Below are 25,672 nucleotides of genomic sequence, written 5' to 3'. Positions count from 1 at the left end.
TGAGAGAGGGTAGGAAGAGACACTTTCCAAGGTGGCCAAGTCATAATGCATGAGAAAAATCAACACACAAACAACCTACAGTAACAGGGCACGTAACTAGAATGTATTGCATTTCCACGCAAGAGTAAAGTAGTCCTGCCATATTTTGCAGTTTATTATTTGATCTTTCTCTAGTTTTATTTGTAGCCAAAATTTTACATTGATTTTTTAATTTAATTTATTTGAATTCCTTTTCAATTTGAAAATTGAAATGGAAGGAAGACATCTTTTTTAAATACAGGTACTTCTTTTGCTCAACTACTTTGGAGTTGAATTATTGAATATTATCTGTTGCTTAAAAATATCCCAAGCCAGGCGCAGTGGCTCAGACCTGTAATCCCAGCACTTTGGGAGGCCAAGACGGACAGATTGCTCGAGCCCAGGAATTCGAGGCGGCAGTTAGCTGTGACCATGCCACTGCACTCTAGCCTGGGTGACAAAGTGAGACCCTGTCTCTTAAAAAAAAAAATTATATATCTATTCCTAGGCTTTTGGATATATATATTTCTGGTTTGTGAGCCAAAAGTCCATTTCTCAATCCTGAAATGACAAACAGAAGTAGCTTAGATTTTTCATTTATTTATATTGACAGTAGTAATGCCATTTCTTTTTTTTCTTTTTTTTTTTCTTATGACAACTGAAAACAATAGGATGCCCTGACTTTCATATACAAATTCAGTAGTTCAAACTCTTTGTCAATAGGAGTAGGAGTAAATTTGCATCAGACCTTCTACACTCTTAACTCCATTCCATTCTATTCTTCAACAGGAACGTTGTGTTCACAGCAGCTAATGAGGTTGTATTTTGATCTGAGGCCATGAAATGCAGCAGCACTTGCCACCTAGGAAAGAGAAACATTTAACACATGGTATTGGCCTCCTTAGCACCAGGTCCAAAACGAGGTCACCATCTCATAGAAATCTTGAGGCCAGAAGCTCAGCCTCAAGGCTATCAGCCTTTATCTACTTTGTCATAGAAAGCAGAGGTTTTTGCAAAGAGGAATGACACATCCCATGGACACAGCTAGAATTGTGTGCAGTATAAGGGAAGCTGTAGAGTACATACGCTTCCTAGTTGGGCATCCTGGGTTTAATCCTGGCTGTCCCTCTTACCAGCTATGTAAGAACAAGCTGATTTCATAATCAATTCTGTGCCTTGATTTGTCTCATCTATAAAATGAGGATAATAATGAGGCCAACCTTAATCTTTTGTTAAGAGAGTTAAATGAAATTATATAAGTAAAACCTGTAGCCTTAGCACGGTGCCCAGAGTAAAATCAGTGCTAAATAAATCTTAGCTATTCGTATGTATAATTCCTCTTTCAGCTATACCTAAATCCAAAGTTTTCTTAACCATTAAAGAAAGTATATGTGTATTCAAATTATTGAGAATGATATAATAGAGATGGCCTATTTTATTTATATAAAAAATAAAATATTTGCCAACTATGCTACTTATTATTACTGGTAACTAATTATCAGTGCTGCCAATCATTATGACATACGTTCACAGGAAAATACTAATAATCCCTTTCCTCCTCTCCTAGCTAACAAAGTGGTATGGTCTAAATGTTTATGTCCCCCCATTTCAATTCATACATTAAAATCCTCACCCCTAAAGTGATGCTATGTAGAAGATGGAGCCTTTGGGAAGTGCTTAGGTCTTGGGAGTGGAGCCCTCATGACTAGGATTAGTGCCCCTATAAAAGAGGCCCTTATAAAAGACCCCTTGCCTCTTCTGCCATGTGAGGGTGGAGTGAGAAAGATGGCTGTCTGTGAGGAAGCAGGGCCTCCCCAGACACTGAATCTGCCAGTGCCTTGATCTTGGACTTCTCAGCCTCCAGAACTGTGAGAAAAACATTTCTGTGGTTTATAAGCCATCCAGTGTTTTGTTATAGCAGCCTGAATGAACTAAGACACACAGTATTTCCCAGTCCTGTGTCTGTGATTCCCTGCCTGAGGAAAAATAATTACATAAACCAACAAACAGAAACTCCCATCATATAAAAACATATAACTGCCTAATCAAATAGGTAGGATTTCTGGATGAAGGAGAAAAAATATTTGTGACCACTGTTGCCTTAAAATGTTAAATCTGCCATCAACTAACAAAAATGTTATAATGTGCTAAAACCCAAGGTCAGGAGAAAGGCAAAGTAGAATAGTTATATTTCCTGTTAATACAGAATTCAATAGGTTAGGAGCAGAGAAAGAGGAAGACTGAAAATTTGAAACTGGATGTAGTCACACAAGAATATTGCAGTGTCTGGGAGCTGATAAGGGCTTTAAGGAAATTTAGAAATCTTTAAAGGAATGATTGATATGATCAAGACTTGTCCATAAGAAAAGAAGACTAGAATAATTGAGGATACCAGTGGATTCCAATCTTAGTGAAGAGAACTGCAGAATCCCTAGAGGCTTACTTGAATAATATCTGGAAATGACTGTGACTTGAATTTTAAAAAGAAATATATTCAGTATTCTAAAAACTCTATAGGTGTGATGCATAGCACATTGCAACATTTCAGGAGTAAATTAACATTAAAATTTTAGTATTTTAGAAAGTCTGGATTTACTTTCTAAACTCAGAGTATTTCTAGAATATTAGAGTATTTTAGAATCATTAAATTTTTAATTATAGTGATCTGTTCTTTTCATTTAGTTTATTCCTTTCCTCACTTATTCAGTAAGTATTAATATATATTGAAAACCTAGTTCAATGACAAACAAGAGAAAAGAGGAAATTCTTATATCTGCCCAAACAATGATAATGTTTTTCCTCAAGGTGTTCTCATATGTGCCCATATTTTATAGTAAATTATAGAAGATAACTTTTGAATTTAAAGATTTGCTGTCACCTAATACAGTCTTTAGGTAACTCTGCACTTGAATGCCTGTTATTTTTCTTCACTGGGAAAAGTTGAAAGAACAGACTATAAGGGTCTCATTCTGGAGCAAGTGAAAGCTGACCTGAAATAAGTTTTATGATTAAAATTTACATAATTGGTGCTCAGATTTTTCATATGCAGCAGCTCACCAGATGTAAAGATGTAAAGAAGAGGCCAAAGAGGAGTTGGGTAACAGAAAAGAGGCAGAGCCTCCAAATTCCACCATTCTCTCTCCAGGCAGGCCCTGGGGGAAGCATTTAGGTTGCCTCAATAAAGCTCTCTTTAGATTTATGTGATCATGGATGCTTCTTCTTTATGGTTGGTGAATTTACAGTGGAACAAATCGAGATTGTAACAGACAGAAGATCTGTCTCTGGTGAAATAAATTAGAACCATTAGATTTTCCTTTTTGGTCTTCTAGTATAATGTAATAAATGGTTGAGAGTATGGGCTTTGTAGTCAGACAGATTCGGGTTTGGGAAAGGCTATCACTTACCAGCTAGGTGACGTTGAGTTCAGCCACCCTGAGCCTGATACTGTTTTTGCTTTTGTTTTGTTGTGTTGTAAAATAAGAATGATAATAATAGTGTCTAATACATAGTGCTGCTATAAGGTTAAATATTAAATATGTGTGTAAAATGCATCATATAGTGACTAATGCAGTGGTCAGTCCTCCATAAATATAAGCTATTGTTTTAATTATGTACTGTCTCCTTAATATACTTTTAACAAACTCTGATATTGTTTTGCATAATGGAGATAAACTGCCAAAATTGGATGAAACTATTTATGCACTTTAAGTCTTTATCTGTTGGAATCATGTTCAGCTTAACCACAGAGACTTAACCAATTATGGATCTGTTTTTCCCCCATAATAAAGAATTCAGAAATAGGCAATGTAAGGCTAGTATAGCTGTTTGAGGAAAATATCGAGGACCCACCATTTAATTTTCTGCTCCTCCACCCTTATCAATGGCTTTCATCTTCGTGATTGAAAGAAAGCTGTGGTACCTTCAGACAGCCAAGAAGGAGGAGGCAGAGTGAAGGGCAAAAGTCTTTATAGGAACTACCACCTATATCTCATTGTCTAGAACTATGTTTCATGACCAGCCTCTAATAGCAGTGGAAGCTAGTAAGGAACGTATGTTTTTAACTGGGCACATTGCCACCTGGAAACAAAACAAAAACCCACATAGTTCTGTTAGACATTGAGTAAATAAACATCAGTTTCTGCCACAAAGCCAAACAAACAAAAAAGACATGATTTTCAGGCCTGATTACTTTTCTAACAAAGACTTATAAATGGCCTCAACATTGGGACATTCTGAGGGCCCATTGCTAAGACCTTAAATCTTACCATCATCATTAAGAAGAGAAGTGGTCACTGGTCTGTGTAATGGGCAAGATAATAACCAGGTCCTTTAGACATGATTCCTGAATCAATATTGTCAGTTTGCTTCCATGTTGTAATATAAAATTAGGTTGCTGTTCAGTACAACAGTCCTGATCTTGGTGATGTGATTATATCATTTATTCAATAAGGTTTTATAGAGGATCCCACTAATCTTGGAAGTACAAGTACAGGGAAAACATAGAAGCAACATCCAACTTTTCATACATGGATTTTGTAAAGGATTAAGTTATATAGTTTTCTTAAAATGATTATTGTTATAATGGCAGCCATCAATTGGCCTGGATTCTGGCAGTGACTATCTACATTTGGAGGCTTAGAGAAGGTCCCTATGGTGCTCAAGTTCTATGTGATCAGCCTCACTGGAATTAGGGGCACCTAGTACTAGCCATTTCTGTTACCCAAGGAATCAAGGTCCAGTTTTCTACTATTGATTTAATATGACCTGCATAAAGAACCAGATATAGAAACACAGTTCTTTACGATACAAATCAATCAGTAAGTATTTTTTAAGCTGTTACCTAGCACTAAGCAAAAAAAAATGGTTATCCAGTTTTCCTGGGATGATTTTTCAGAAGCAGCTGTTTACTAAGCAGTTAGCATTGATTTCATATGGCTTAGAGGAGCAGGCAGACTGTGGGTCTGTCTCTGCTCTCCCAGAGTCACTAGGCAGGTTACCTGGGGTCATTACTCAGTTTCTCTAGGCCTCAGTTTTCTTATATGTAAAACAGCAACTTTGAAAAAAATGATTGTTAAGATTCCTCCTTGATCTTGGGTTTGGGGCAGGATGGAGATTTAATTACTGTGGAAACGGTTACTTGACCCTGTGCAAGATGTGGGGTGCCCTGGGGTCTGAGAAGTCCTGGAGTGTCAGGCTTCATTTTTGCCCTCCTGAAAATGAAGGAGTTGGATTGGAAGTATCAGAGTCCTCTACTTGATCTAATGCTCTGTCAAACAGAGTTTGATAGAACTGTCACCTGAATTCTATCAGATGGGTTTAATTAATAAAAATTTTTGGAGACATGCTTGACAGGTTTCATATTCCCAGGGCCTGTGCATGGACCCCCTGAAAGTAGTAATGCAAAATTCTACTTTACTAAGTTTGTTAAGCATTGGAGGTTGAAATGAGCCCAAAGAAGATCAAGGCTGTTAACTCTTACATCTAAAAAGAATCTCCACCCAGTGTTTCTAACTGAGCACAGATTGACAAAAACTATTTCTTTTTTTTTTTTTTTTTTTTCCTGAGACGGAGTCTCACTCTGTCACCCGGGCTGGAGTGCAATGGCGTGGTCTCAGCTCACTGCAATCTCTACCTCCGGGTTCAAGCGATTCTCCTGCCTCAGCCTCCTGAGTAGCTGGGACTACAGGCGCGCGCCACCACGCTCAGCTAATTTGTGTATTTTTAGTAGAGACGGGGTGTCACTATGTTGGCCAGGCTGTTCTCGAACTCCTGACCTTGTGATCCACACGCCTCGGCCTCCCAAAGTGCCGGGATTACAGGCCTGAGCCACTGCGCCCGGCCGACAAAAACTATTTCTCAATTCTTCTATCTTAGCAGTTCATTGAGGTAACACCTTGGCCAGCAGAAATCTTTGGGTGAGTGTAATGGTCCTTAAAGGGGAAGTTGGTTCTGCCAAGACCTGCAGAGAGGTGGTCATAGGGAGCCTAGTAAGTCTGTTAGGACTGGCATGAGCAACACTTCTGGCATCTTGTGCAGGGTCACCAGTAGTAAATGAAATGATGGGACAGGTCACCAGTGCCAGCCATCTGCATTGTGGCTGCTGTTCCAGTACAGCTGTGACACTGCAAGGTAGATCCTCTGAGCTGGAAATTCTAAAACGGTAGATGTTGGCAAGTAACCCTAAATTGAAATGACTCTGAAAAAATTAAAAAGGGATACAGACGAGCTGCAAGCACTGGAACAAAGATATTAACCCCCAAAGAGTCATAACCACAGCTGACTCTTAGCTTCACAAGCAGCCCTCAGAAGGTGGTAGCTTGTTTTAAGCAGAGGCCATGCAGAACCCATGAAACCAAAGGACAGAGCCAGTAGGGCTGGAGTCTGACCAGAAAGTTCCATGCCCTCTGCTTTCTGCATGGAAAATGACCTGGTAGGTTTTAACCTATCCAAGACTACAGAGGATTTCAGAATTTCAGTTTGAGGTATGCCTCAAAACATTCCAGCCTTGATCATGAAAGAAAGAAGTGATCAAAATACCATATGTCACAATGGAAAACCCAAGCGGCCCCAGAGCCTCTTCTTCAGTAATGAGATTTAGTTGATCTGAACAGTTATTTATGCATTGAGGTCATATTTTGGCCAATCTTTTGCTTACAGCTGTCGCCAAATAAAGCCTTCTGTCTTAGCATTTCTTTTACCAAAATCAGGTTGAGAGATGGTTCTTTGAGAGGACTGTTTTGTCAGGGAATACAGGGATCTTTTCACACAGTAAAATGTGCCCACAAAGCCAAACAATACACCAAATATAGGGTCAAATTATGTTAAAATTGAAAGGAAACAAACTAAAGTCTTTTTCTTTGTCCCTGTTGTTTTTTGAGGTTTTGCTTATCTGTTTGTTTGTTTAATTTTACCAAAAATGCTCCCCAAATGGCAATGAAAGGTTCAAGGGAACTTTCTTCAGTAATACCATGTTTACCTCAGAGAGGATTGGCTGTTAGGACTTCCCTAGTTGATCTTCCTCTTGTTCCTTCTTTATTGTAAGTTTTGACATATTACACTTTCTAACATCTCTGTGCCTGGAAATATTCTAGGCTTATACTTTTAATAACAGAAATGGAGAAAAGTGCTAGTGTCTGGATTGTTGCTAAATCTGCACATGTGTAACCAAGAGTATTAAACTCAGAGCCAAAGAACAGGAAGAGAAGAAAAATCCCTCCTTTGTTTGTTTGTAGACTTTGGCATTGATTTCATGTGGCTTGGAAGAGCTTGAATGACACCGTGGGTCTGTCTCTGCTCTCCCAGAGTCACTAGCCAGGTTACCTGGGGTAATTACTTAGGTTCTCTTGGCCTCAGTTCCCTTATATATAAAACAGAAAACATTGAACAAGATGATCGTTCAGGTTCCTCCTTGAACTAAGATTTGGGGCAGGATAGAGACTTAGTTACTGTGGAAACTGTTGCCCAACCTTGGGCAACAGTTGTGGGTTACTCTGGGGCAGGAGAGGTCCTGGAATATAATGCTTCATTTTTATCCTCCTGAAAATGAACAAATTGGATCTGAAGATAACTGAGTGCTCTACTTGATAATAATGTATTGTCAAGCAGATTTTGATAGAACTCCTTCCTAAATTCTACCGAATGGGTTTAATTAAGGAAAGTTTTTGGAGGCATGCTGGATGGGTTTCATCTTCCCAGGACCTACGCATGAAATGAGACATGTCCCCTTGAATAACTAGGTTATAAGAAGCATAGTTTGCTCTATTGTATTTTGGCCAACTAGTCCTCATCATTATGGATGATAGGCCTCAGTTCACCATTAACAGGAGGAGCTGAAAGCCTTGTTTTGGGATTGCTAAGATGAGATCGTTCTCCTTACACTGTGTTCCTACTTTTCTAGCCATACTGTAAGGACAAAAGTGCTTAATCCTACACACCTATTTGCTTCATTTAAAACAAAAACCTATATAAGGAAGAGGAAAAGCCCAAATGACATTCAAGGCAAACATCATAGGTGGAAAAGTAGAGAAAAAACATCTGATCACATAATACCGAGTAGCCAGGAATTTCTGGAAGCAATTTATGGTTATCCCAGGGATCAGAATATAAGAGTGTGAAATGAAATAAAATGCTTTATAAGAGACAAAATCCTATGAGACTCTGTACAAAAAAAGAGGTTACCATTAGACAAGTATTTCAAAAAGAAATGAAGAGAATCTTAAGTATACATTCAAGCTATGTAAAATAATGAAACAAATGCTAAGGGATGTGGGAATCAAGATGAAGAAGAGCAAAAATTTAAAAACAGTACCCATATTCCAAGCTGTTTTGTGACTTTGGAACTAACTTAAAAGCAGTTATTGATATGTGCACTTTTCTTTTACAAATATTATGCTTCATAAAAAGTTTTTTTAAAGGAAATTCCTGAGTAATCTAAAAGAAGTTTTAAGGTTTTTCTTTCCCAACAGAAGAAGATAATTAAGATGGAAATGTGTTCAGCTGGGTGTACACTTGTTGCTGTTGATAATGAATATGGAGAGTTCTTCACAGGATGGGGGATTTTGGGAATTAAAGCCTGTCAAAAGGTGGAACCTAATGTTCAAAGTCCTAAGACCAAGAGGAACCATAGGAGGAGCCTTCAGTTAAGAGTGTTATAAGTAATAGAAAACCCAACCAACGGTGGCTGAAACAAACAGGGACTTATTTCCCTCACAAAACAAAAAGTCCAAAAGTGGGTGGTTGCTGGCGTTCACTCAGCTACTGAGAAATGCCACAGAGGACTGTATTACTCAGTTCCTGCAGTGCTATCAAGAAATACTGGGTAATTTACAATGAAAGGGTTTTAATTGGCTCACAGTTCCATAGGCTGTACAGGAAGCATGATGCTGGCATCTGCTTGGCTTCTGGGGAGGCCTCAGGAAACTTTCCATCATAGTGGAAAGTGAAGGGGAAGCAGGCACATGTTACATGGCCAGAGCAGTAGGAATAGAGAAGGGGAAGGTGCTGCACACTTTTAAACAACCAGATCTCGTGAGAACTCACTATCATGAGAACAGCACCAGAGAGACCATGCTAAACCATTCACGAGAACTCCACCCCCATGATCCAATCACCTCCCACAAGGCCCCACCTCCAATACTGGGAATTATAATTTGACATGAGATTTAAGCAGGGACACAGAACCAAACCACATCAAGGACCTATACTTTTCCCATCTTTCCCTTTCTCCATCCTTGGGAGTTGGCTTTTGTCTTCATGCCTTATATTCACAAAATGGCTGCCAGAGTCCCAGCCATTTCTTCTGTGATCAAGGCTGGAAAAGAGAAGGGGTCAATACCAGTATATCCTTCATTTTAACAGAAAAGCAAAAGCCTTCTCAGAACTTTGGCACATGGCTACCCAAGCCGCTTCCATGGCTGGAGAAGGCAGGGGATAAGGAAAGTTGAGAATGACTGTTGGGTTAACTGAAAATAGCAACTGCCAGAGTTCATCATAAAGAGAATCATCTTGTGGCTTGATGCTATTGGGAAGAGGTAAGAATTTAGAGCCTTTAGGAGTATGGCTCAGGACTGCAAACATTTCCACTAATAGAATCATGAAAGCAGTTAGTGAATTGAGTTAAAACAGCAATTCAAAAGGCAGGTAGCCTGATTTTTCATTCTGAATTGGCCATAGGCCTTAATGAATGCTACTAAATTATTAGTCTTTCCTACTATAAAATAAGAATAATGTCTATTCACCTCACTTGGACCCTTTTATTCAGTCATTCATTTATTCAACAAATATATACTAAGCACCTCTTATGTAGCAGAGATTGTGCTAATGCTGAGGATACACAAATAAATAATGCAAAACCTTTACCCCAGGGAAGGGAGGCCAGGGGACGTGTTGACTGAGTACTGCTTCACGTTGGACTATGCTGGGTGCTTTATATGCAGAATATATATATATATGGCTTATAGAAGATATGTAAACAAGTGATATAATAGGAAAAGTGGTACAACGGAAATATTCATAAAAGTTCCCTGGGACAGAGCAGGGGAAATGACTAACTCTACCTTGGGAATTGGGCAGGGCTTCACCAAGGAGATAAAATCTGAGATAGGGCTTCAAATTGAGTCTGAGTTTATTGTACAGAAGTAGTTGCGGGGAGTAGCTTTTGGTGGAGGAACAGTTGATTCAAAAGCAATGACACTTAAAAGGGAATTGTTTGTTCCTGAAAAGTCAAGCAGTCTACTTTGCCAAGCATTCGGGTGGTGGGAGGTGGCCAAAGCCAGGCCATGAAGGACTCAGAAGCCAGAAGTTTGGCCTTGAGGAGCCTTTGCCATACAGAACAAGACATGATGAGATTTGTGCCTCGGAAAGATCATTCTGGAATCTGTGAGGTGAGGAAGGGCTGTTGGAAGGGGTCTGATAGCAGAGAACCTGTTTTGGAGGCTTTTGCCACAATGTTGGTGAAAGATGATGACACAATTAAGGCAGTGAGGTCTAGAAAGACCTGCATAAGATCACCAGCTTCTGGTGACTGATTGGATGTGTTGAAAGAGAGTCGGGGGAGGAATCAAAAAAGATTCCAAAGTTTCTCACATGGCACTTGGGTGGCATCATTCACAGGAGATGCAGGAGAGTGTGGCATTTGCTGAGCCCCATTTCAGCTTCATCTCATCTCAGCTCCTGGAAAAAAGAACGGGCCTTTGCTTCAGGTCTTGTGTTGCCACAGTAATACTCCTCCCCCGACTGCCTCTTCCGCCAGGCCCCACCCAGCCGTGATTTCGAGGTCATGTTCTGGGATAAGACTCCAAATGGCCTGTGGTTGCCTTGTTCCTGTGTGCAAAATAAAAATGGATTGCTGTAGCAAATGCAAACATGAGGTGGGGAGAGCAGCGATTCCTAGACGAGGCTTGGAGTTGGGCGTGGGACTGTGGCTGAGCAGTCATGGGTGCCCCGTGACAACTGCCTGCCTCACTGCGACTCCGGGGATTCTTCCCACTCAGCTGCAGCACAGCCTCGGTAGCTTTCATCATTTTCTAAGACCAGTGGACGGAATCAGACAGTTCATGATGCTTCAGCTTCTCGAGTACATGATTGATACTTGAAGGAATTATTAAGGTGCTTATCTATTTTTAATTGCATCTACTTATTTGATATTTGACCCAATTCATTCATTCTTGTTGTGAATGTATTAACAGACCCTGTACCCTCTTGACCTCTCCTTATAATTATTACCGTTATTGTTCTTTGAAGCACTGTTTTGATTATACACTTAAAAGGAGCTACTGATATACTGAAATTCATGCACAGCTGAAATGCCCACTGCGTGGACTCAAGGACAGCTGTTTAAGAGTAGTTCTTGTCCTCAGAAGTTCATCTCCCTTTTTTTTTACTTCTCTTCACCCACATTTCTGCCCTCTTCCCCTTTAGAGGTTTTTAGTCACACATTTCTACTTTAATAAGAGCAACCCTTCTTCCTGAGGCCCCAAGTGCTATGTTTTAACAAACACAGATGAATCAGTTCATGTGCTTTATCAGTGTTGGGATTGCTGGCAGGTGCCTCACAGCGAACATTATTGCAATTTCACCATCATTTCCCCTCCTCCCATTTCCAGACATATATTCATATTTGTTTCTTCTTCCCTATCTGGCAAATCATTCCAGTGAAAATTGATCCCATTGATTTAGCCACATACAGGTGGAAGCCTGTATTTGGGAAGCAGTTTTAGCCAAATTGTGTGAAATAAAGTTTTTTCTTCTGATGTTATCTCTGACCCATGTTGTGAGCATTTTCTTTTTTTTTTTTTCTTTTTTTTTCTTTTTTTTTTTTTTTTTTTTTTGAGATGGTGTCTCGTTCTGTTGCCCGGGCTGGAGTGCAGTGGCACAATCTCGGCTCACTGCAACCTCCACCTCCCGGGTTCACGCCATTCTTCTGCCTCAGCCTCCTGAGTAGCTGGGATTTCAGGCGCCCGCCACCACGCCCGGCTAAATTTTTGTATTTTTAGTGGAGACAGTGTTTCACCGTGTTAGCCAGGATGGTCTCGATCTTCTGACCTTGTGATCCCCCTGCCTCGGCCTCCCGAAGTGCTGGGATTACAGGCTTGAGCCACTGCACCCAGCGTGAGCATTTTCATCTGCGTGGATTAGGAGAAGTTCTTACCACCATTCAATTATCACCACATGGTGTCCAGTTCTATAATGCAGTACTGAGCTTTAAGGAGATTTGCAATTATTTACTGAGGTAAAAGACAAGATATTAACTTAGTGTGTCATTTGTCTTGGTCTTCAAAGTGAGGTGAAAAGCCTATCAGTGGCCCATTCAAGTGTCCTTTTAGAAGTGTCTCCTTCTCTCTTTCTGGTGTTCTCTGTCACCTATTTTATGACATTATCATAGGAGGAATGTTTGTATAATCTGGTACAGTTCCACAAAAAGAAACATGGATTAGAAAATTAAAGGTAATCCTAGGGATAAGAATGAGAAAATAAAAACTCTTTAAGATGATTAGAGAATGTATTAAAGTCCATTTATTTCATTCATGGCTATGAATTATGGGTAGATAACTTGTGGCACTGTTTTCCCAAATATGAGACCTTTGGGGGAAATTCTGGTTCATTCTTGCATTAGGGAATTTTCTGTGGCACAGCGTGTGGTAGTTATCACTGATTCTACTTAGCACAAATTCCTCATTAAGGATTTTGCACAAACTGGAATGAAGAGCAAAGCTTTCTTCTTAAAGAGAATGAAAGCATATTTCCTTTCAAGGGATAGGACCATTTATTTTCACATCAGAATCTGAGATTTACAATTCTTTTTTGTTTGTTTGTTTGTTTGTTTGTTTGTTTTTGAGACAGCGTCTCACTCTGCCACCCAGGCTGGAGTGCAGTGGCGTGATCTCAGCTCACTGCAACCTCCGCCTCCCAGCTTCAAGCGATTCTCGTGCCTCAGCCTCTGAAGTAGCTGGGATTACAGGCACCCGCCACCATGCCCAGCTACTCTTTGTATTTTTAGTAGATACAAGGTTTCACCATGTTGGCCAGGCTGGTCTTGAACTTCTGAGCTCAAGTGATCTACTCGCCTCAGCCTCCCAAAGTGCTGGGATTACAGGTGTAAGTGACCAAGCCCAGCCTACAATTCTTTATTTACTGCCTTGTGGCAAGAGCCTACATTTCTGGAATTTTAACATGCAACTCAGGCAACTCATTTAACAAGTATTTATTGAGTATCTGCTGTATACTGGGCACAGTGCTATCAACTGACTAGAGGGTTAGTTGGCTGGTCTTTAGTGAAGAAAGAGAGAAAATACTGAAGAATTGACAGGGGTCGGAATCCACTTGCCACCGCAGCTTTCAAGAACGGCCTTCTTAGAGACAGGAAATGAGCAGGAAAACCAGTTACGGAGACTCATTTGCAATTACTAGCCACATTCTTCAGAGAGAAGGCTCTGCTGAAATCCTGAATGTTGACTAACAGAAAATGTATTCTTGTTGCCTTATTTCTCATGATGCTTTGTTCTTTTGACCCAGAAACAGAAAAGATAGTCCTAGAGGCAGGAAATGGATTACCATCCTGGAAATTCAATGACCAGCTTTTTCCCTGTGACGTGTGTGGGAAAGTGTTTGGCCGACAGCAGACATTGTCCCGACACCTCTCGCTGCACACAGGTGAGTGAGTAGGGCCTGGGCTGTCAGCCCTCTATGCTCCATCACCAACTTCTTTACTCTCCGGAAACTGAGTTTCTCTAAGAGAGGCATTACAGGAAGTGCTGGGAATGGCTGACCTTTTCAAGCCATTTTCTCTGGCATGTTTAAAGAAGACCTTGGAAAGGCTTTTTTATTTGTATTGAAAGGGTTCATTGAGTTCCAGGTAGGACCGATGAGAAAATATACACAATTTAGGTTTATTCAGGTAAAATTCCTAAACTCTGTTAAAAAAAATGTATTGAGTTCATCTTGAAAGTGAAGGACAGGGGGACACACTCCATCTTACTGGTTTTATCTTATTGTTGTGGGTGGGAGCAGCCAGGGAAAAGGCACCTTGGTGGAGAAACAGCTTCTGCCTTTATTTATGTATAATTGTGGAGAAATATGGTTGGTTCTGAGAGTTGGGAAAGGGAAGGCAACCAAGTTAACAAGGAGGAATAAATAGTAACTTAGTCCACACAGCAAAAATAATTGAAGACAAAAAGACATAAGGTAAAATCAGTAGTAAACATAAAGCAAGATGGAAATAATAAAATCAAACATTTCCATTTTTACACTGAAATCAGGTTTTTAAATAATCCAGATATATCTTATTTACAGGGAACACAAAAACAAAATGATAAAGAAAAGTTCAAAATAAAGATTTCGTACATCACACAAAATTTAAAAAGCAAGACAGGAAGTATTAATAAGACAAGATTAATTTTGTCTTTTTTTTCCCCCAAGATAGGGTCTCGCTCTGTCACCCAGACTGGAGTGCAGTGGCTGCATCCCAGCTAACTGCAACCTCTGCCTCCCGGGTTCAAGTGATCCTTCCATCTCAGCTTTCTGAGTAGCTGGGACTACAGGTGCACGCTGCCACTATGCCCAGCTAACTTTTTTAAAAAAAAAAGGTTTTTGTTGTCGGGCGCGATGGCTCACGCCTATAATCCCAACACTTTGGGAGGCCAAGGCAGGTGGATCACCTGAGGTCAGGAGTTTGAGACCAGCCTGGCCAAAGTGGTGAAACCCCATCTCTACTAAAAATACAAAAATTAGACGGATGTGGTGGTGCACGCTTGTAATCCCAGCTACTCAGGAGGCTGAGGCAGGAGAATTGCTTGAACCCAGGAGGTGGAAGTTGCAGTGAGCCAAGATCGTGCCACTGCACTCCAGCCTGAGTGACAAGAGCGAAACTCAGTCTCAAAAAAAAACAAAAAGTTTTTTGTAGAAATGGGGTTTCTCCATGCTGCCCAAACTGGTGTCTTTTCTTTTTATATTTTTAATATTTTTAATTTTAAATTCGACTAAAGACAAAATTTAGGAAAACTTTAACATGTTCAAAAAAGTGGAGTTTTATAAGGTCACATTCTCTGAGCATACTTAAATGAAATTTTAAATAAGTAAGGGTCAATAAAATGTCCTGCCTAATTGGACCAAAGAAAAAGGGAGAAAATAAAAATTCAAATAACAGACATCTAAAAGGAATGAAATAGAGAACACTTCATACATAAACCTGGAGCAAACAGCAAGAGCTCTAGTCAGAGGAAAATTTATAGAGGTAAACATTTTAATTAGAGAAAGACAAAAATAAAGGAACTTAATGGTCATCTTAAGGAATTGATAAAACAACAAAGTCTAGAAAGAAATGGCCATAAAATAGATAAATCCTGTTAAGCCTGATTAAGAAAATGAAGCAAAAATACTCAAAGTTAGGAATGAAAAAGGAAACCTAATCATCAATGTGGAAGATGTTAAAGAATTATTGGAGAATAATGAAGCTCTAAGAAAAAAAGCTGAACACTTAGATGACATAGATCATTTAAACAGAATGACTAAAATTGACCCAAAGTGGGGAGGGAACTTGAATCAGTCGGTTCCCAAAGAGAAATTTTGGAAAAATTATGAAGGACATACCGTTTATAAAGGCATCAGGTCCAGAAATTTTCGCTGGTGAGTTCTTTCTAACCTTTTGAGAAGAGGAAATTCCAATGTTATTAAACCTTTCCAAATGATAGAAAAAGATTTAAAAAGCTCCACAGTTTCACTTTATGGAGGATGCATAACCTTAATAACAAAACTTAACAACCTCACTTATTCATACAAACACAAAACTTCTAAAGAAAGGACACATTTTATCTGGACAGTGGGGCTCCTCCCCTGACCCTGCTGAGCCCAGATGCCAGCCCTTCAAGATGTTGGGGACCACCTATAACAATAATGGTCTCATATTTTGTAGAGAAGAACTTTTTTCCATGTTCTTCTCTGTGAACTAAAGAAGACAGGTATTTCCTTTAAGCCAGGCACAGTAATACCAAGTAAGCATTAAGGATAGAACACTGGAGTTGTTCTTTCCTTCATCTTCTGCTATTACCTTTATCTGTGTGATGAAAGCAAAGCCTGCTCCTTTTACTTTAATTTGCTTGATTAATCAAACGAATTCAGAATGCCACTCTGGAAACGATCCTGAAACATTTGTCAGTTTTATGAGAGGGTTTCCATTAAGAAGTTAATTGAAATTCTTTATTTATGTAAAATGAAATTTCCAATTAAATTATTTCACACAGCATTTTTTCCCCTTAATTTCATTAGTTTTTTTATTTCTTGGCCGACCCAGGCCAGGAGCTTAGGGAAAATGATGAGGCCTCTTTTACGCTGTAGTCCTGCAAATGCTGTGTTTTATTCCCCCTCCCCTGCTCAGCACTCACCCATGACTGACACATGGGGTACACACACACACACAAACAGACATGCACACTTGCTCACTCACAGAATATTCTTTTGCCCTGTGTGGGGCTTACCTTATCAGGAAAATGGGCTGTGGGTGTCCAGGAAAAAAAAAGCAGGTTATCTATTCTAGTTGCCCTGGGACTTTTTTTTTTTTTTCTTTTTTTTGAAACAAGGTTTATCTCCGTCACCCAGGCTGGAGTGCAGTGATGTGATTGTGGTTCACTGTAACCCTGACCTCCTGGGCTCAAGCAATCCTCCCACCTCCTCCTCCCAAGTAGCTGGGACTACAGGCACGTGCCACCACACCTGACTAATTTTTTAAAAATTTTTTTGTAGAGATGGAGTCTCGCTGTGATGCCCAGGCTGGTCTCGAGCTCCTGTCCTTAAGTGATCTTTCTGTCTTAGCCTCCCAAACTGCTAGAATTACAGGTGTGAGCCACAGTGCCCAGCCGGAGATTTTCTTTTATATTTAGAAGTACTAATACAGGAGTGACCTGCTGGGTAAAGACTTTTAGATACTTACAATTCCTAGGCATTACCATTGTCTCCATCTGAAATATGACTTGAACCATTCTTTCCTTGATACCTTTAACTGATTCTTGCAAGGTGTTGGGACTTCCTTTTTTGAAAGCGATTTGGGCTTTTTCCTGTTCCTTCTCCCCCAGAGGAAAGAAAATACAAATGCCACTTGTGCCCCTATGCTGCTAAGTGCCGTGCAAATCTGAACCAGCACTTGACCGTCCATTCCGTGAAGCTGGTGAGTACAGACACCGAGGACATTGTCAGCGCCGTCACCTCTGAAGGCAGTGATGGGAAGAAACATCCTTATTATTACAGGTGAGTTGCAGATGGAACATGCTAGTCCGCCTTTCTCAGACTCTTGACTTCAACACTTCCTACCTGTCTGCTGTGGGCATACATCACGAGGCCCCTTTTCTCAGTCATAGCCTGGCCTTCATTTGAGTAATTTCTTTGCTCAGATTGAGCCCTGCAGTTGCACAGACTCCTCTCTTGGTTTGGGTGCCCCTGGTGGTATTAATTGAAAGAGAAATGGTCTTAGAGGTGGCTCTCTGGGGTGGAGCTCCAGACAGAGACGGGCTCTGGGGATGATGAATTTTTAGGTCTGTTCAGCTCAGAAGCTCCAACCTTTGTAACTGAGTGTGTTGCTGCTCCCTAAGAATTGTTTAAAAAAAAAAAAGCTGAGGAAATATAAATCTGAGAACCCCAGAGAACTAGCCCAGAAGGCGTTACGTATTTCCCCATGGTTGTATCACACTTTAGTATGTGGATTTTATGTTTCATTTCTGTATTCAATCATGAATCAATATTGGTTTGATTGCCATAAAACCCCCAAGTTTCTGGCTGTCAAATCTTGTCCTAGAGAGTTGCCATACTGATTGGTGGAAACTTGCTTTTGCAGGAAATGTCTCTAGCAGTGGGTGGCTTCTATCAGAAGTTGTCCCGGATAGAGTAGCCTCTTGCTTGGAGTGCCATACAACAAACTGTAGGTGCTTTCATTGCTACTAGGGAAGGTTTCCAGAGCCAGAGAGAGGTTCCTGGACTATGAGGTGCTCTCCGAGTTTATCAGTGGACCGGCACCACTAAATACCTTGGCAATGCTACCCCACATCTCTTTGCCCAAAGGAAATCAATTAGGTGATGTGCAGCATCTGGAATCCATAGTTTTAAATTAACTTTATGATTATTTAGCATCATTATAACACATATGTGATTGTTACATGATGCTGGCCCTTAGTCTCTTTGGCACAGTGACTACTTTAGAGGCATCCCAGAAAGCAGAAGAATTTTCTAATGCAAAACCTTTTGGTGGAGAGACAAATGTGTTTCAAATTCCAGTTTTCTTGAGTGTACTGTGTATAAATGGACAGCCTACATTTAGAAGTATGTGTCACCCTTTTCTCTCCCCCTCTTTTCTTTTACCCTTTCATGTAGTTGTCACGTGTGTGGATTTGAGACCGAGCTCAATGTCCAGTTTGTCAGCCACATGTCACTCCACGTGGACAAGGAGCAGTGGATGTTTTCGATCTGCTGCACTGCCTGCGACTTCGTCACCATGGAGGAAGCAGAGATAAAGACTCACATTGGCACCAAGCACACAGGTGACCATTCCTGTCTGTCCTTCTCACACTCCTTCTCCATCCCCTGCACCCCAGAGCACCTGCCACCTGGCCGAAGCATCCCCACTGCCCTGAGACATTGCCCTTTTCCTTCCATGGAAGGAAGGACTTTCCCAAGGCATGAAAGCCACATTTCCCTGTAGTCATAATACTGTTTCCTGGCATGCCTTGTGCCTCACTGCTCTGAAAGACTCCCAAGTTCAGATGTGGTTGAGAGGTGCCGAGCTCTTTGCTTGTTGCTCATCCTGATCCTCTTCCTCATCACCATATGTGACAGTCTTTCAATGCCCCAGTCTTATGCCTTTGCACACTGGCTCTCATTTAAGCCCCATAGCAACCCTCTAAGTGAATACTATTATTATCACACTGTACAGTACAGGTGAAGAAACAGGCTTAACAGAGGTGAGATATTCCATCCAAGGTCAGCAACTAGGGGTTGCTGTGGTCACTAGTTTCAGTCACTAGTTCAGTAGTCACTAGTTTCAGTGACTACTGAAACTCAGCCCAGAACAGTTTTCATTCCAGAGCTTGCTCTCTGTATCATTGCTGTTCTGACAGCCCCGAGAAACACTTGGCAGAGCTTTGAACCTTTCTGTTTTCCCATGCCAGGGCACTACACACCTACTTCTGTAGGCTCTGTTCCTCTCCAGTGAAACTGCAGCCCTGACGCTCTCCTTAATGACGCATGGCATGTGTGTTCGCGGCCAAAGAAAACCAGATTCTCCTGAAACAAACCCATCACTGTCTAGGCCATGGCCAAGGCTTCACCAGTGCTCGCCTGTTATTTAAGCTTCTTGCCATTCTGGTTAACTTCTTCCATTTATTGATGTTAACATTCTGACTTCACCATGCAATTATACTCTCACAAGTGATGGTTACAAATGATACCAGCAAGGAGTCATTAAGTGAGAATGAGGAGGAGCTCCGTCTGCATTTGCGGGGCTTACAAATTAAGAGCTGATGTTGCTGATTGCCAGCCCTGGGTGTTGGGTCAGCCCCTCACATCATCAGCACTTGAAGGATTCGGGAAGGGGAATTTCCCTGACAGTTGTGCTGACGATGTACACAGCAGAGGAGGATCTCTCTGTGTTTCTCTGGCCACTTTGGCTCAGTGGTGCCAACAGTAATAAAAGCTTGTTTTTGTCAGTAAATTGAGCAGCTATGACTTGGAGGTCTGCAGAGAGCCGTTATGCCAAGTGAGAAGGTGCCATTTTTACAGTCAGTTGTCTGACTGTAACCACATTAGCCTGTGGGCAGCAGGTGAGCTGGGAAACCCATGTTGAAGACAAATTAAATTCAGCATTTCTGGAGTGGCTAATGGAGGAAAAGGCCAAACTCTTTTCCATTACCACTGGCTTTTCAGATAGTCTTTTTTTTCTCCTTTCTGTTAACCTTTGTTCTAACCCTCTTTACTCCAAAGTATACCTGAACCCAGTTGAAAACCTTCCTCCCTCCCATCCTGCTCCAAAGCCCCCTCCACACCCATACCACCATAGAAACCATAGAAACCATATGGCTAGGCAGAAGCTGGACTTGTCATCATTTAATTGTCGTGAGTGGAAACTTCACAACTAACCAGTGCAAACACATACCTCGTAATTACCACAGGGAATGAAGCAAAGATCTTGTTCTCTCTGATGTAGCAGGATTCAGGGCTCATTGTCTAGCAGGAAAGAATATTCTTGTTTGTTAGTACAGTCACCCAAGAGTGAAATGCATTAAAGAAGTTTCTTTTTTAATTCAGTAGGAGCCTTTAATGCTGCTGCTCTAAGAATAAGGTTAAAACCTATTTTATAAGCCAGGGTCCTGCAAGCTTTTTTCAAAGGGGCAAATAGTAAATATTTTAGGCTTTCAGGTCATACAGTTTCTGTCACTACTACTCAACTCGGCTGTTGAAACTTGAAAGTAGTCGTAGACAATATGCAAATGAGTGGGCATGGCCATGTTCCAATAAAACTTTATTTATAAAAACAGGAGGCTCATTTGAGCCCAAGGACTGTAGTTTGCTGACCCCCATTATAAGCTAATGGTCTCACAGCAAGGGTTTCCTGTATTTAGTATAGTTTTGAGATGTTTCAGTTTGACCCAAAATAGATCAATCTAAATCTGTAAATTAGTAAGTTGGACTATTGCAAAGTTAGGGTATAAAGCAATATATATGTTATATGACATATATAGCAGTATATATTCCCAAGAACAGGGAGCTTATCTAAGTCACTGCTGTATCTCAGCACCTGGAGCAGGCCCTACACAGTACAAGTGGGGAATCAATGTACCTTCAGTGAATGAATATATTTGTGTGCAAGCTCATCTGTGCACATTTGTGCATGCTAAGTAAGAAAACTATTCAGATGTGGCCCTTGCTTGAACCTTAGAGTCCTAGTGACTTATTTCTGTAATCTATGTGGAAGTTACTTGGCATGGAGGAAAGCACACACTGAATTCTCGATCCAGGTTCTAGACCCTATGGTACCATAAGTAGTATTGTGAATGTAGGACCTCAGTTAACTTCTCTGGACCTCCATCTGTTCCCTATATTTTCAGATGCGCAGAAGATGCCCTTAGGCCTAAGATTCTCTAATTTTATGAGCCTTGTTCTCTAATTTGATTTTCCTGTCTTAGGAAAAGGCCCCTATTATTTCAGTACCTTAGGAAATCTGCCACGCTATCTTGTTACCTAAGTGAAGTTGTGATCTACAGGATAAGCTCTAATCAACAGCACGCATTTTGTTTAGTCTCCTACAGAACCCATGCTTTCTCACATTTTCTTATGGGTTGGTGTTACTCCAGGCATGCCTGTGAGTGGTTATGTTAAAGGGATACCTGAGGAACTGTCCTCTCATTAGGCATTTCCGCTTAGTGATCCCTCCTCACCTTCTTTCTCCCACTGTCTGGCGTCTTGTCCCTGCAGAGAATATCAACAAGGGGAAAATATCCCCTTTGGTGCTTGTGACTTCTTCAGTGCAAATTTTGCTGCAATTTCTAAATGTTGCAATAAATGGCATTGAGGAATCTGAATGGCTATTTGGAAAATACAACTATCAATACCTCACCTCACATTGACACCAAAATAAATTCCAGATAACTTACAGAATCCCTATTAACAAATCAGCCCTAGAAAAGCCTGAAGAAAATAGAATATTTATCAAGCTTCCAGAGCTAGAAGGATTTGTAAAAGCTTAAGTGATAAAATAAAGCACAAATGAAAACAATCGAGAGATCTGACACATAAAAATTTCTTCAGTTTGCAAAATAACAGAAAAAGAGAAGCAAAACCAAAACCTGGGTCTGAAAAAATGTGTTTACAAAAATGACAAAAGGTTAATATATTTACTACATAGAGTATTCCTATAAACTGTTAAGAAAACCTTTAGGCCTCTAATTGAAGAATTAGCAAAGGATATGAGGACATGAGCAGTCAATTCACAATGAAGGAAATAAAAGCTAACCACTTACCATAAGGAAACACATACAGCTAAAACTCGAGGCTTATATTCCACCTGTTAAGTTAGGAGAACATTTGATATTAATACTCACTGTTGCTGGGATGATGCTGGTACTCACATTGCTGTTGCCCTGCGGAGTTGTAAAACTCCTTGGAAACTAATTAAGCTGTATATACCAAGAGGCTTAAAATGTAATGCCCTGTGACCCAGTAATCCCATCTCTGGGAATTTATTCATGGGAAAATATTCAATTAGTGAAATATTAATTTTACCTTTAAATTTAATTTTAAGGTACTATTTAAGTAGAATAATCCCCTCCATGGATATAATACAATCATTTAAAACAATGCAAATATTTTCAAGAATTTTTTGAGAGCCAACTCTGTACAAATATCTAAAATAGCATGGGAAAATACAAAGTATTAGTTATCATTATTATTATATTTTATTATGTATGTTTTATAATAGAATAATAATATTTTCTATAATGCTTACCATGATCCAGACATTGTTCTTAATGATTTACATATAAAAACCTATTTAAGTATCACAACCACCATATGAGGCAAGTGCTGATATCATCCCCATTTTATAGATGAGATAATTGAGGCACAAAGTTAAGTGTCTTGTTCAAAATAATACAGCTACTAAGTGGTAGAAGTGAGATTCAAACTCACATGTTCTGATCTATTTTATTTATTTATTTATTTATTTATTTATTTATTTATTTATTTATTTATTTTAAGACAGGGTCTCACTCTGTTGCCGAGGCTGGAGTGAAGTGGCGTGATCTTGGCTCACTGCAACCTCCACCTCTCAAGTTCAAGCAATTTTCGTGTCTCAGCCCCCTGAGTAGCTGGGATCATAGGCATGGGGCACCACGCCCAGCTTATTTTTTGGTATTTTTAGTAGAGATGGGGTTTTGCCATTTGGCCAGGCTGGTCTCAAACTCCTGGCCTCAGGCAATTCACCCACCTCAGCCTCCCAAAGTGCTGGGATTACAGGCGTGAGCCACGGCACCCAGCCTGGATCTAGAGTCTTTATTCTTAATCTTAATGGAAACAATTTAAAAGTAGAAGTGCTTACTTTGTTAAGAATGAAAAGTACTCTAAAATGTAACAGTGTCTGTATTGAGGAAGCAAGATGATTGGTAATTTTTTTTATGGTTTCAATTTCCTAATTTGTGCTGTTTAAAATTGTGCAATATTTAGGGGTTTTGTTTTGTTTTTTAAGTTCTCTTCAGCTGGTTGTCCTAATGTGTGAAGTTGCATCACCTGTGCACAGGTGTCCTTCACCAAGATCTTTGTGATGCTGAAGAAGGTAAATGACCACTTGGGTCACAGTTAGCCTTGGACTTGGCTGGCAAGGGCACCCTGGCTCTTTCCACAGACATAGCAAAACAAGATGAGGACAGAAACAGGAGAGGCTGTTTGGACTAGGGATTACACATTGAGCAAGCTGGGCTGCATCACAGAGTGGCTGGCACAGCACATTGTATCTTTATACATTTATTAATTTAGGTATTTCTGCCTGGTGCCTTAAGCCTAAGGGTACTTGAATCTATGTTTAGAGATGGTAGTTGAAATTAATATGTTTTAATTCTAAAAATGAATTTAAAAGAATCACTTGCAACAGGTGAATATTAGAAGATGGAGTTGCAGTATCAGGGATTCAGGGTCTCCGCTAAAAATGTTCTACCTAGAAAATGTAACTAAGCTGGTTAAATATATACTGATAAGCAAATGGCAATAATGGTACTAGTTGTCACATAGCTTTCTTGTACCAAGAGAGAAGTCTGTAGTCTAAAGTCATATACCATTGCTCCTCATGGTCAGTGACTGAGGTCACATACTTGCAGTTCTAATAGGAGCAAGATTTTTAAAATTGTGAACTGAAGTAAGAGTTGTCTGCCCTGGACCCTAAGTGCAGTTCTGACAGGAAAAGGATTTGAAAACATTGTAAGTGGGTACATATTTCTTCCTTTCTCTTTTTAAAAACTTTTAAAAATATGGTCACTCTAGAAAATTTTGAAAATGGAATAAAAGTAAACAAACATGACACCAATAATTTTACACTCTAGATGTAACCCACCATTACAGCTCTATTTCCAAACTTTGTATACCTAATATATATATATATATATATATATATTTTTTTTTTTTTTTTTTTTTTTTTTTTTTTTTGAGACGGAGTCTTGCTCTGTCACCCAGGCTGGAGTACAATGGTGCCATCTCCACTCACCACAAACTCCGCCTCCATGGGTTCAAGCGATTCTCCTGCCTCACCCTCCCAAGTAGCTGGGATTACAGGCATATGCCACCACACCTGGCTAATTTAATCTCCTAATAAAGGAAGTTAGGTTCTAACATTTACAGTCACTAGATTGCTTAATGAACTGATTTGAAGATAATTGGAGAACAGTCTCCCTATATTTTCTCCCCTAACCTAAAACGATGGGGTCATGTTGAATCTGTAAATCATTCTGTGGATAATTGACATCTTAACATTCTTAAGTCTCTTGAACCAGGAATAAAGTCTAGCTCTCCAGTTACTTGGGGTTTATAATGTACATCTTTAGGCCAGGTACGGTGGCTCATGCTTGTAATCCCAGTACTTTGGGAGGCCAAAGTGGGCAGATCACTTGAGGTCAGGAGTTCAAGACCAGCCTGGCCAACATGGTGAAACCCTGTCTCTTCTGAAAATACAAAAATTAGCCAGGCATGATGGCACACACCTGTAATCCCAGCTACTTGGGAGGCTGAGGCAGGAAAATTGCTTGAACCCGGGAGGTGGAGGTTGCAGTGAGCTGGGATCACGTTACTGTACTCCAGCTTGGGCAACAGAGTGAGACCCTGTCTCCAAAAAAAGAGTACATCTTTAGTTTATCACAGTAAAACTTCAAATGATTGATTAAACCACTTCATATGTTGTATAAGAACCTCACGCAAGTAGACTTCCATTTCTCTCCTCCTAGCGTTTATACTATTGTCATATGTTTACTTATATGTTTTATAAACCCTACAAAACAGTTATTTTTGTTTAAACAATGTTACTTTTATCTTTTAAAGACATTTCAATAATTTAAAAATTATGAATTTATCCATGTATTTATTATTTCCAGCCTCTTCATTCTTTTGTGTAGATCAGTTTTATATCTGGTTTCATTTTCTTCTGCCTGGGCTTTGAACATTTCTTGTAATTCAGGTCTGCTGGTGATGAATTCCTTCATTTGTTTTAATGTGAGCTTTTGTTTGTTGCCTTCATTTTTGAAATATATTTTCACTGGGTATAAGATTTTAGGTTGACAGTGTATCTTTCAGTACTTTAAAGATGTTGCTTTACAGTCTTCTTACTTGCATAGTGTCCAGTGAGAAATCCACTGTCATCCTTGTTTTTGTTCCTGTGCACATAACATATCTTTCTTCCTCTGGCTACTTTCAGGATTTTGTTCTTTAGCACTGATTTTGAGCAATTTATGATTTTTTTTGTATAGGTTTCTTCGTGTTTCTTATGCTTGAGGTTCATTGAGCTTCTTGGATCTATGGGTTTATGATTTTCCTCAAATTTGGAAAATTTTTGGCCATTTCAAATTTCCACCCTCCCCACCCCACCAGGGATTCCAATTAAACTTATTTTAAGCTTCCCAAAGGCATCCCACAGTTCACTGATGCT

General features: G+C 40.0%; 2 protein-coding genes across 23 annotated transcripts in view; one reads left to right on the top strand and one right to left on the bottom strand.

Annotated features, from left to right (window-relative positions):
• ZNF827 (zinc finger protein 827) overlaps positions 1 to 25,672 on the top strand; it is a 181,197-nt gene that overhangs the window by 145,782 nt on the left and 9,743 nt on the right. For all 16 annotated transcript variants that reach the window (XM_047449635.1, XM_017007768.3, XM_017007770.3 and 13 more), the window contains 3 exons: positions 13,531 to 13,668; positions 17,082 to 17,253; positions 18,370 to 18,536. In XM_047449635.1, the coding sequence (XP_047305591.1) occupies positions 13,531 to 13,668; positions 17,082 to 17,253; positions 18,370 to 18,536 (477 nt within the window). The remainder of the gene's footprint in view (positions 1 to 13,530; positions 13,669 to 17,081; positions 17,254 to 18,369; positions 18,537 to 25,672) is intronic.
• The window catches only part of C4orf51 (chromosome 4 open reading frame 51), a 112,298-nt gene continuing 87,224 nt past the window's right edge, over positions 599 to 25,672 (bottom strand). The window contains exons 7-12 of one of the 7 annotated variants that reach the window (XM_047416083.1): positions 22,011 to 22,054; positions 21,378 to 21,459; positions 20,147 to 20,217; positions 15,604 to 15,655; positions 10,603 to 10,689; positions 599 to 880 (exon numbers count right to left, since the gene is read on the bottom strand). The gene's annotated coding sequence lies outside the window, so the exon portion shown is untranslated. Of the gene's footprint in view, positions 881 to 10,119; positions 10,690 to 15,603; positions 15,656 to 20,146; positions 22,055 to 25,672 lie in introns of those variants that run through there. The other 6 variants (XM_047416082.1, XM_047416078.1, XM_047416084.1 and 3 more) reach the window with 6 other exon arrangements.

This window comes from Homo sapiens, chromosome 4 (assembly GCF_000001405.40).
Source record: "Homo sapiens chromosome 4, GRCh38.p14 Primary Assembly".
NCBI classification, from domain to species: Eukaryota; Metazoa; Chordata; class Mammalia; order Primates; family Hominidae; genus Homo; species Homo sapiens.
This window is presented reverse-complemented; position numbering and strand designations above follow the sequence as displayed.